Source organism: Homo sapiens, chromosome 20 (assembly GCF_000001405.40).
Source record: "Homo sapiens chromosome 20, GRCh38.p14 Primary Assembly".
Classification (NCBI taxonomy): domain Eukaryota; kingdom Metazoa; phylum Chordata; class Mammalia; order Primates; family Hominidae; genus Homo; species Homo sapiens.
Window position 1 is genome coordinate 54,191,922 of NC_000020.11, and position 13,172 is coordinate 54,205,093.

Sequence of the window (13,172 nt, forward strand, 5' to 3'; positions counted from 1 at the left end):
AACACAGTGAAACCCCATCTCTACTGAAAATACAAAAAATCAGCCTTTTACTCCTAAGCACTGATTTGGGATTTGAGAAAAATTTTACAAAAAATCAGACTTTTACTCCTAAGCACTGATTTGGGATTTGAGAAAAATCCAGCTCATCCGTCTGATCTGGCCTCTTGATCTCAGAAGCTAGGGGAGACCATTTTTGCTCCACACATAACTAAAGCCAATAGAGGAAGGTGGTTTGCAGAGGTAAAGAGGATTGAAGCAGTTGAGCAGACAGCACAGAGGAGAAATGAGGCAAAGGTCTGATGTCCTAATGGTTTCCATCTGCAATCTCTTCCAAAGGCACTTTCTGATCAAGTAGCAATTTGGACTTTTTTTAGTTGTAAGCAACAGAAACTGGCCCGGCTATCCTCATCCATAAAGATTGTATTGCATTCAAAGGCTTGCAAAAGTGTGGCTAGATGATCAAGCTTGGGGTGTGGGGAGGATTCCAAAACGGAAACCCACCACTGATGCATGGCCAGAACCCCCCACCAGAGGATCCTGCTGTGAAGAATTAAGAGCCGTGGATCCATCGACGCCAGGTCATCTACCCACCCTCTGGCTGCTGGCAGTGGGAAGAGCGAGTTGGTGCCCTTCCACTTCTGTAGTTGATACTGGGGTCCTGATTGCTACCGGGGTGCTCTGGTTATATATCACACTCCAGACTTGGTGGTGTGAAACAATAACAGTCTTTTATTATTATCATACCTCATCATGCTGGGAGATGACTCTCATCTCCTCACTGAGGTTTCCTGTGCAGTTGCAGAGAGTTGGTGACCGGGGCTAGATTCACCTTAAGTCTTCCTCACTCAAGTCTGGCAGTTGATACTGGCTGAGAGCTGGGGTCTCAGCAGGGACCATTGATTGGAACACTGCTGGGTGCCTGGACTTCCTTGCAGCACAAAAGGTGGGCACCAAGGGTTAATGCCCCCAGAGAGAACAAGGTAAAACTAGATTACCTCTTCTAGCCCAACCTTGGAAGTCATATGGCAACTTCTGCTTCTGCTGCACTTTTTTGGTTAGAGGGGACTCACCAGATAAGTCCATATTCAAAGGAAGGGAAGTAGGCTTTTGATGGGAGGATATCAAAGAATTTGCAGAAATGTTTTAAAAGTACAATTGCCTCAACACGAAGGAATCTACTTGATTTCCTAAAACTAGAATCCTGGTTGCTAAAGGTTCCATAAGACACCCCATATATTGCTTAGCAAATCACCATTCATTGTTTAAAGTAGTTCAAATTAGTTTCAATTTCTTGCAGGCAAAGACACCCAACGGAAGCATTGGATTCCAAGACATTGAATTCCTTGAAAGGAGAGATTTAAAAGTACCTAGAATACAACCTTCCATATGACATTTATTAAAATTGGACAACTATACTTTGAGAAAATGATTGATATGAATTACAGTGTGATTGACCTATGGTCTCAGATCCAAACCGTAAACCCTACACATTCCCACGGCTAATCGTTTTAGGAATAGACCAATCCCCAGATAGTAAGTGAAGACTCAATGGATTTTGGAAGTCAGTTTGGCACAAAGACCCTGGAACAGCTTCCGGGGCTAGAGGTGGAGTTTCCTGTTGCTGAGGTGGAAGATCACGAGACAATCAAGAAACATGCCTCTTCCATGGCTTGAGGTCAAGTCTAAGCTTGCTCAGTATCTGTTACTCTCTGATTGAACTTCCCTTTAATTCTCCCATCAGCCAAGCTTTGTCTCTGAGGTCTTATAGGAAGTTTTTGGCAAAGTGGCAGAGGTGGTGAAGGACATCATGAAAAACCTGGAGCCAATGAAGCAGAAAGACTTATTCTGGAATACATGGTGTGGCATCCTAGAAAACTCTAGATATGACAGGTAAAAACCTGTGGAGGGAAGAGCGCGTTAACATTCAACATTGAAGTAAGTTAACCTCAACGAATGGTTGTTTGGTTGACAAAAAATAGACCCAAACAGAGTGATATTCAGCCAGTATCATTCAAATACCTGTGGGTTATCTGAACAACATTCTTGCTTTCAATTTCTTAATGCTCAAATTGCTTAGACATTTTTTCTTTCCCAAACAGGTGGGTAAATCTAACTTTTTTGGTGTCTCTCTTGGACATCCCAGTTAATGCTGATAGTTAAATTTATACTAGACAATCCCATAGGAAGCTGCCCCTCAGAGATCCGCCTGCTTCCTGGAGACACTTCTGACATTCTTCAAAATTGCCAGATAACATTTGAATAGCTCTGCGTTAGAATAGCCAATAACCCCTGCATTAGAATAGCCAATGTAATCACTGATTCTTCAGCTGCACTCCAGAGCCTTAGGGAATAAGTTGCATGAAAAATTTTATGTGTATATAATATATAATTATATATATATCATCTACATATATTTATATAATATATAATTATTATTTTATCTACATATATTTATATAATATAAATATATAAACATTAGTTTATATAGTTATAGAGAACAGAGGGCATAGCATGGGTGAGTGCCCCCAGAGAGAATAAGGATGGAACAAATATATAATAAATATCTATATTTATATATATAAACAAATGGAACAAATATATATAAATATTATATGTGTATATGTATATATAATAAATATATATTTTAGATATTTATGTATACATTACATATATAAATATATATATACATATAGTGAATCAAACTCGCTATAGCGAGTGCTCATGCTGTGAAAGATATCTGGGAAAGAGACTGATGGAGGGAACCGTATACACCCCAGGCTAGACTCTAAGCTTTTTGAGTGTGGGTGTCATATCTGTTTTGTTTGCCAGTGTATGCCCAGAACCTAGCACAGTAAGTGACACCTAGATGACAGGACGGACTTTGCAGGCATGCAGCCCGTGTGGTCACACAGGGTCCTGCACTCAGAAGATCCCTGCACATGACTCAGTGCTCTACTGTTGCCATCCTGAAATTGTTAATAGTGTTTGAACAAGAGGCCTTGGGTTTTCGTTCTGCACTGGGCCTCACAGTCTGTGGTTGCTCCTGATGACATTCAATAACTATGTGTTGCATGAATGAGTCAGAGGCCAAGGCCAGGATTATGTTCCTACCCTACCCTTAAACTCTGGGTCAAGGTGAGAGTGTTCCTTTACCGGAATCGAAGGTTCGTCTCTCTTGCTCTCATTTGCTGTTTTCAGGCTGATTTTTCCAGCAATGAGTAACAGCAGGGGCCATCCGTTTACTTCAAGGGAAAACTCTCCTCCCCATGTGCAGCTGGTCTGACCCGGTTCTGCAGCAGGACAATTTGCCAAGACTTTGATGCAGAAAATTCCCTTAAGGGGACTTATTTGGTCGTAAGTATCGTGTGTGAAAGACATCAATATTTAAGTCCTGGTTGGGCTTCATCAGATTCAACCCTGTTCTTGTCCAGTTTTATCAAAATGTATAAAGTCTAATCTTAGGGAACAAATGTGCAGTGATGCTAATGAATTTTAATAGCATTGGACGTCTTTGATGCCTTGTCTTATGTCCTCCTGACCTATCTTGTTGCTCTGGCATTAAGTTGACAAACAGCTGTGGCCAGGTGAACCTGACCTCAGTAGTACCTCATGTCCTGGGGCTTTTCTACTGGCCACAGGCAGCACCTGCAGCCATCTAGCGCAAGACCAAACCTGAAAGTGCAGGAGAGGTAACACCTACCGGGGCAACCCTTGGCTGAATGGGGCTGGGTGGATAAATGCTGTCTCTGTAGTGAGGACAGTTCTGAGGGACAGGTGCTGGAGACCAGAGGGTTTGCAGGAGGAGCAAGCTCCAGCGGCCCACAGGGTCATCAGCCCAGTGGCAGCCCTTGGAACAGCTTCCTATCTTCACCTTTTTCACGTTTCCTCCAGCTTCCCCAGATCCCTTCCCACCATGAACTCCCTGCAGCAAGCCCTCGTCTCAGGCTCTGTCCAGACGTTAATGTAGCCGTGACGCATCAGTGAGCACTCTTTTGATTTTAAGTGACAGATAACTAAACCAAACTTTCCTAAGCAAATGAATTCAATGACTCAAGTCATTGAAAAGTTCAAGGGGACAGCTAGCTGAGCTCTCAGTGTGACTAGGGGAATGCTTTCTATCAGGCCCTGTTTTATCTCTCCCTGTTCCTCAGTTTCACTTCTGTGTTGGTTCCGTTTTTAAATGAGTTCGCTCCTGATATGGCAAGATACCAGCCACTATGCCAGAACTGCCATTTCTACAGCTTCACAGCAAATAGGAAGAGAGGGCTTCTGGCTCCCATTGGAATCAGAAGTTGAGGCTCTGATTGGCCTCAGTTTGGTTCTGTGCTTATTCCTGAACAGTCATGTGACCATGAGTTGCTGAATGGCTGACGGCTGTTCTCAGGCTCCACCACTAAGGTGGTATGACAGTCCACCCAGATCACATGGACTGATAGGGAGGAAGGGGAGGGTCCTCACATTGAAATCAGGGCTATTGCCAGAAGAGCACGAAATGGGTGTCGGGAGGCAAGCACCACATGTTCAGGAGAACTAATTCTTCTTGGGCAGCCAATCAAATGTGGAGTCTGATAAATACAATTTTGCTTCCCATTCCCCATCAGCAAAGAGATTATTACAAAATAAAGTCTGTAATGATGAGTTACAGTTGGATATAAACCTATTAAAATAATGCATTATATAGATTAATTCCCTATGTATGCATTATTCAAGTGCTTTTAATACAGTTCCCCCCCTTTGGGGAGTGGGATCTTAAAATAAAAAGGAGAAAAGTTTTCATTGCTATGTTGTCCTATATATCTTGTCAAATTATGCAAAAAATACATGTAGACTTGTTTCACAAACATAACTAGATAGCATAATTACTTGGGTGGTACTAAAATTTGTTTGAACAAAGTTAGTTCTAAAGGAAGTGAGGCAGGATTCTTTTTGAGAAGTATAATATTTAATTTTTATGGGTATGGGAAAATACAGTGTAGATGAGAATAACTACGATTTGTATCCTTATTTTATCAGATAACAGTTATATAAGGTATAGAAACTTAGAGGCATTACCCAATTGTCCTGAGCCTCCTTTCACCACCTACAAAATGAAAATTATACCTATAGTTTGAACTGAATTAATTTGCAAAATTAATTTAAGAACCCAAAGTATATATTAAATGCTTAAGAGAAATACAGCCTCTTTTTAAGGCCATTGACAATTTAGGGACTGCCCCTCCTCCTCATGTCTTCGCAGACAGCTTTTCCGGAGCTTAGCAAGTGGTAGCTCGCAAAGTACTGAAATCTTCTCCTAGGATCCATGTCCTACACTGCTACAAGAATCACTGATTACATTGGCAATTCAACATTTATTAGGTCAAATGGAATCCATCGTAGCCAGGACCTCAGCTCTCCTTCAGTATGCTCAGATAACACCTGACCGAATATGGGAAGAGGCTCATTGTGTAAACACAAACGTGGAAGTGCCTTTTATTAAAACAAGATTTTACCTGTAGAAAGATTTGAGCATTCAATTTGCCTCGAGGTAGCATCTTTACCTGGAAATGAAATCTCATTCTGTTATTGGAGCCAATGTGTTTATGTCACCATTGGATGCAGGAACAACTTAAAAAATAATAGTATACATATGTTATGATTAACTCTAAACTTTTGTTTACTTTAAGGATAAGCTAAAAAAACTCACTATTGTCAAAAATAGCTTCTGTAATTTGTTCTTTTCACAAGAAGTAAAATTCTTGTGTTATTTTTTATTCTCTGTACCTTGCGAATAACTCATAACTTAGGAGTTCCCAAGTTATGTTCATTCCTCCATTGCAATCTCTGTCCCACCCTTCCCTTTCTTTCCATTTCCGTTGCAATGTAATGTAAGGTTAAGAGCATGGAATGCAAGAGGTGCCAGTTTCAACTCTAGCTCTACTGTTTCTAGCTCTGTGTCCTCGAGCACATTATGTCCCGTACTCTTGCCTCAGTTATACCATCTGTGTGTAATAATGATAATACTACCTCCTTTATAGGGTTGGTTAACTAATGGTCTGTTTTATAAAGGTCTAAAAACATTGTATACGTTGAAGGGCTTTTAAAAATGCTGTACTTTTAGCCAGGTAAAAATTCGGTTAAGAATTCAAACTAGCAAAAGATGATTCTACTTTGGCCCAAAGGCAGTGGTTTCCTGGGTTTGTGTCATCTTGCTTTGCAGCGTGTAGACAATTCTTCAGGAGTTGCAGAGAGAAAAATAACATGCCAGATTTTGGGGTCACAGTGCCATCTGCTGAAGAAAGGAGTGTTGCTCGAACAATGAGTCCACATGATCACAATTTGCGTAAGTACTAGGCCTAGCCAAAAAACAAAACAAAACAAAACAAAAAGAATGCAATAAGTTATGGACTCTTGTACATTGTAGTGGAGTGAATTCCTCAACAGCTTACGCTGTATTATATATTACTGTATTAATCTCTAAATACATTATCACTTATTTATTCATGCATTGATTTATTCATTAGTTAACATTTGTTAAGCACCTACTTTCCTGTTGGTGCCGCAACAACAGAGATGAAGAAAACAGGCATGATCTGTTTCCTTTGGTGCTCTCAGTTTAACAGGGACACAGAATTCAAAAGGGAATATACCAGGGAGGCGTAGAAAGCTGCTTTAGGGGGCAGCGGATGCTGCTCTTGTCTGGGAGATGGGTGCGTTTGAGGAAAGCTTGTGTCTTAGTCAGTCTATGCTGCTACAACTAAAGTCCTGAGTCTAGGTAATTTATAAACAATAGAGATTTATTCCTGACAGTTCTGGAGGCTGGAAAATCCAAGATCAAGGCACCTGTAGGTTTAATGGCTGGTGAGAGGTCCAGTCTCTCCTTCTAAGATGCCAACTTGTTGCTGTGTCCTCTGCAGGGCAGAATGCTATGTCCTTACATGGTAGAAGAACAGAAGAGAATGAACCTTGATATGGTTTGGCTGTGTCCTCACCCAAAATCTCATCTTGAATTGTAATCCCCATAATCTCCATGTGTCAAGGGAAAGACCAGGTGGAGATAATTGAATCAAGGGGGCGGTTTCGCCTACTCTGTTTTCGTGATAGTGAGTGAGTTCTCACGAGGTCTGATGGTTTTGTGTTTGGTAGTTCTTCCTGCATTTATTCTTGATCTTGCCGCCCTGTTAAGAAGGTGCCTTGCTTTCCCTTCACCTCCCGCCATGATTGTAAGGTTCCTGAGGCCTCCCCAGCCATGTGGAACTGCGAGTCAATTAAACCTCTTTCCTTTCTAAATTACCCAGTGTTGGGCAGTTCTTTATAGCAGTGGGAGAATGGACCAACACAAACTCGTTCCCTCAAGCCCTTCTATAAGAGACCCAATCCCATTCTTGAGGGCTCTGTCCTCAGACTTAAAGACCCCCGCCTCATTGTAAAACCACATTGGCCATTAAATTTCAACTACGAACTCTGGAGGACACATTCAAATCATAGCAGCTTCCTTGATGGGAGTAACATAGACGCTGAGTCTTAAGGATAGGCAGACGGTAGAATGCAGCTGGCTGAACAATAGGAGAAAGGCATCATAGGCAGCAGGAAAAGCAAGTGCAAAGGCCCTGAGGCAGGAGGGAGCGTGTAGCATTCACAGAATGGAGGCCCAAGAGGGTGAAGCACAGTGAGTGAGGGGAAAGATGGTCCAAAACAAGGTCAGGGAGGGAGGCTAGGCCCTGGTAAGAAATTTAAGTGCAATGGGAAAACAATGAAACATTTCAAACAGCGTTATGGAAAAACCATTTGCAAAATTGTTTAGCTAAATACAAACTGACAGTACTTAACATTACCCAGCACAGTAAGATTCAAAAGAAGTGCAAAATATTCGGAAGGTGGATTTGAATGATTTAAGTCTGGGGAACACTGTCATGTTCCTCGGGTGCCCTCTGCAGGCGCCAAACCAAATTGCTGCGTGATCCTGGGGATTTGCTCCTTCTTGCCTCTCACTCCTCATGGCCAGCATGGAAGAGGAATCTGATCAAGGTTTCCTTTTTAAATCTTAGAACCAGGAGCCTGGAGCAGGTGTTGCAGGTTTTGGAGGGCACCCAGGTGCGTACTGCCAGGAAATGATGTGATAACCTCATTCTCGCTTTGTGACAAAATCTAAATTAAACTGGGACATGTCTGGACAATTTTGTAGCTTACATACCAATTCAAACAGGTTTTTTTTTTCTCTTCATTTTCCAGTCAATATACTGACCATTTCTGTCCTTATATCTTCCTCACGGAGTGTTCCTGATGGTAGTCACACAGTCTTTTATTATAATTTTATGAGTTCTTGTTGGAGCGATTAATAGCATTTATACTAATAAAACTTTCTAACATACTGTATAATTTACTTATATGTTTTGGTTATGATCTTTTTCCTATCAATAGAATGTAAGCTACATGAGGACAAAGAGTTTTGTCTGTTTTTTCAGTGTTATGCCCTCAATGCTGAGCACCTGCCCTTCTTGGTCCAAGCAACATCCCACTGATTCCACAGTCCTCAGGGACCACTCCAGCAAGATTCAAGCTCTTTCTCCCCTGGACTCGCCCCAGGGTTGCAGCTTCTGGTGCTGTGACTTTGGTCATATGTTTGCCAACCATAAGCTTCATGATGCCAAGCACCTTGTCTGCTTTATTTTTCTGCTTGCAATAGCACCTAGCATGGTAGAAATTTCAAACAAACACACGCATAAATGCTCTCATTTAGGTATGTTAAAACAGAAGGCTGGGAGTTACAAGTTCATATACCTGGAGGGCCTCACAGGTGAGCACATGGATGGGCAGGTGCCCTACATGTACCTGTGTGCGCTCTGTGAGTGGGGGGGTCTGCCAGGCCCAGGAGAGAGCCTGCTGGCCGAATGTGCCAGGCCAAAGCAGCACCAGCAGCTGCCCATCAGGCAGAAACACAGGTGCAATGTCACCAGGATGCTGATTGTACCAGCTCAAGCAAAACTAAAAATCTCAAATATTGGTTCCACTAAAGAAAAATACCATATGGGTCAAAGAAAACATAGCCTGGATCCAGTCAGTGGGAGGCCAGTTTTCAACCTGGCATAAGGGAAAGTCTTTCCAAATGGTCATTGTTGATTCTCCTCCCTGACCTGCAGGATCCACATGCTTCCACTTGTACCCCATGCTTCTCCCCGGAGAGCCAGGGACAGTCCCCAGCTGGAGAAAGGACCAGAAACAAAGGTCGGAAATGCTCCACATCAGGAAATGAGAAGATGCTCAGCAGACTTGAAAGTCCCTGTACCATGCGGACTTGCAGAACGAGTTTTTCTGCTAGGAGAGAGATTAGCTCAAAGGATAGCAAGGTCTGGGGAGAGGAGAGGGACAAGAATGATGAGAAATAGAATGAGAAGGAAAACCTCTAAAGCAAGGGGAAGATAGGGGCATCAGAGGGAGCTGAGTCAGCACCAAGACTGCCAGGAGCCGCCACTGTCCTCTGTCCAGATTCAATGACACTGCCCTGTGCCCGCAGACTCTCTGCCCAGTGCCTTTTCTCTCTGCTTTTGTATGGTCTGTGTGGGGAACTAATGCATGGAGAAGCGTGCACCATCTCATGATAATGATGGAGCAGCCAAAGCCTCATAGAGCATCCGATTGGAGCCATGGCTTCTTTGAGCCCAGCCAAAGGGATCCAGCCCCTACCTCCATATCACCTGTTAGAGGAGACAGTGCCCCCTAGCCCTTCTGTCTCTGGAGCCCCTGTCTCCTGGTGCAATTTCTCAGCTCAGTGACTAGCTAACCAGGCACTTGGACATTAAGGAAGCATGGTGATGAATAAGTGGGCCCTGCATGAGGCAGGCTTCTCAGGGTTTCTTGGCAGCACATGTATTAGCATTTGGACCAATCTGATTTTATTTTATTATTGTTATTTACATTTATGTATTTATTTTTAATGTTGTGGGTACACAGTAGGCATAAATATTTATGGGGTACCTGAGATATTTTGATATGGGCATACAATGTGTAATAATCACATCAGGGGCCGGGTACCGTGGCTCACACCTGTAATCCCAGCACTTTGGGAGGCCAAGGCAGATGGATCAGCTGAGGTTGGAGTTTGAGACCAGCCTGACCAACATGGCAAAACCCCGCCTCTACTAAAAATACAAAATTCACTGGGTGTGGTGGCGCAAGCCTGTAATCTCAACTACTCGGGAGGCTGAGGCAGGAGAATCCCTTGAACCCGGGAGGTGGAGGTTGTGGTGAGCCAAGATCACGCCATTGCACTCCAGCCTGAGCAACAAGAGCAAAACTCTGTCTCAAAAAAAAAAAAAAAAATCACATCAGGGTAAATAGTGCATCCATCACCTCAGGCATTTATCCTTTGTGTTACAAACAACTCGGTTACACTCTTTTAGTTATTTTAAAATGTACAATAAATTATTGTTGACTGTAGTCACCCTGTTGTGCTATCAAATATTAGATCTCATTCATTCTAGATGACTAATTTTTATACCCATTAACCATTCCCACTTCCCCGTCCCCTAGTACCCTTTTCAGCCTCTGGTAACCATCCTACTCTCCATTTCCATGGGTTCAGTTGTTTTAAGGCTTTTAGCTCCCACAAATCAGTGAGAACACGCAACATCTGTCTTTTTGTGCCTAGCTTATTTCACCTAACATAATGTCTTCCAGTTTTATCCATGTTATAGCAAATGACAGGCTCTCATTCTTTCTTTTTTTTATGGCTGAATAGTACTCCGTTGTGTATAGGTGCCACATTTTCTTTTGTATTTTCATTTTACTTTAAGTTCTGGGATACATGTGCAGAACGTGCAGGTTTGTTACATAGGTATATGTGCCATGGTGGTTTGCTGCACCCATCAACCTTCATCTAGGTTTTAAGCCCTGCATGCATTAGGTATTTGTTCTAATGCTATCCCTCCCCTTGCCCCCTACCCCTGACAGGCCCTGGTGTGTGATGTTCCCCTCTCTGTGTCCATGTGTTCTCATTGTTCAACTCCCACTTACGAGTGAGAATGTGTGGCATTTTGTTTTCTGTTCCTGTGTTACTTTGCTGAGAATTATGGCTTCCAGTTTAATCCATGTCCCTGCAAAGGACATGATCTCATTCTTTTTTATGGCTGCATAGTATTTCATGGTGTGTATGTGCCACATTTTCTTTATCCAGTCTATCATTGATGGGCATTTGGGTTGGTTCCAAGTCTTTGCTATTGTAAATTGTGCTGCAATAAACATATCTGTGCATGTGTCTTTATAGTAGAATGATTTATAATCCTTTGAGTATATACCCAGTAATGGGATTGCTGGGTCAAATGGTATTTCTGGTTCTAGATCCTTCAGGAATCACCACACTTTCTTCCATAATGGTTGAACTAATTTACACTCCCACCAACTCTTTATCCATTCGTCTGTTGATGGACACTTAGGTTGTTTCTGAATCTTGGCTATTGTGAATAGCGCTGCAATAAACATGGGAATGCAGACATCTCTTCGATATACTGATTTCCTTATTGGGGGTTATATACCTAGCAGTGCAATTGCTGGATTATGTGGTAGCTCTATTTTTAGTTTTTTGAGGAAGCTCTCTACTGTTCTTTGCAGTGGTTGTACTAATTTACATTCCCACCAACAGCGTATGAGGGTTCCCTTTTCTCCACATCCTCTCTGGCATTTGTTATTGTCTGTCTTTTGGAAAAAGCAATTTTTAGCTGGGATGAGCTGATATCTCATTGGAGTTTGGATTTGCATTTCTCTGATGTTCAGTGATGTCGAGCACCTTTTCATATCTCCATTTGCCATTTGTATGCCTGCTTTAGAAGAATGTCTATTCAGATCTTTTGCCCATTTTTAAACTGGACTATTAGTTTTTTTCCTATTGAGTTGTTTGTGCTCCTCATATACTCTGGCTGTTAATCCCTTTTTTCTTGCCTTATTTCTTAATTAAATATTAAACTAAATATTTAGTTTGCAAATATTTTCTCTCATTCTGTGGTTTGTCCAATGTAATTTTAAAGTCCTAAAAGAATTTAATTCACTGACTCTTCAGTATGTTATAACCTGAACTTCTTGGCTGATTTTATGGGCCTCAGTGTTAGACAGCACCTAAGGATGTGTCATGTTAAAGCCTCTTGGTTTAACCTGTCTTTGTTCTCACCTGCCATTGGCCACCTGCTCCACCCCAGCAGCTCCCACAGTGACCAGCTCCACACCGGCCATGGTGTGCAGACTTGCAGGGCTGCCTCTCCGTCCAGTTGGCTCGTGCTTACAGCCTCACACCTTGTTCCTCCACCTGGGGGCTTCCCTGTGGAAGGCTGAGGTGAGAAAAATTATGGGAGCCTCAATGAGCAACCTGGAAGTGTCTGGGAGTGAGGTCCCCGTGGGGCCAGCCTTTGAATGGGAGGCAGGAACTGGCAAATAAGAGTTCTCCCCAGCTGAACTCTCCTGTGTTCTGGTTAACACAGCCTCTTACAGGACAGTCCCCAGAGAGGGAGCAACCAGTCGTGCTTGATACCAAGCAAAGGTCGGCTTGGTGAGGCCTCCTGGTATGGGCTCTGCTGCCTTCCCTGACCTGCTTCATTCCGCTTTTTCCTCGCTCTGGCTGCCCTGGGATTGTACTCCTTAATGAAGAAGCAGTATCTAGGCCTTTGCCTTGGGGTCTGCTTTAAAGATTCCGGCTGGGATGGCTTCTAACCATTGTCATTCTTCTCCCCCAGGATGCTTTCCAATTTCTACACATCTGAAATGGATGCTACAGTCTCAAAAGGCAGCACTAATCATGGCCATGGGGGTAGTTAGCAGTAATACCAAGCCAGGGGAGTTCTTGAAGAGGAGATTTGAAAGATCATAACTTGGGCAGTGGAATTTCAGACGCAACTGGGCTGAACTGAGAAAGTAATCATAGCTAACATTTCCTGAGAGCTTACAATGCATTTTATTTGCACGTATTATCTCTTCTACTCTTTGCAACAAGCCTATTAGAGACACATTATTATTTTTGCCATGAAAGTAACTTGTCTAACATCAAAATTAGAAAGTGGTGCAGGTATGATTTGAACGCAGGCAGTCTGGCTCCAGTAAGCCCTTTATTGAGTCTTAAACACTTTACTCATGCAAGTCAGGTGACAGGAGCTGCAATGTCCACTATGAGCTGCCCACTCGGGGACACATCTGACTTTATACATGACTTGTGG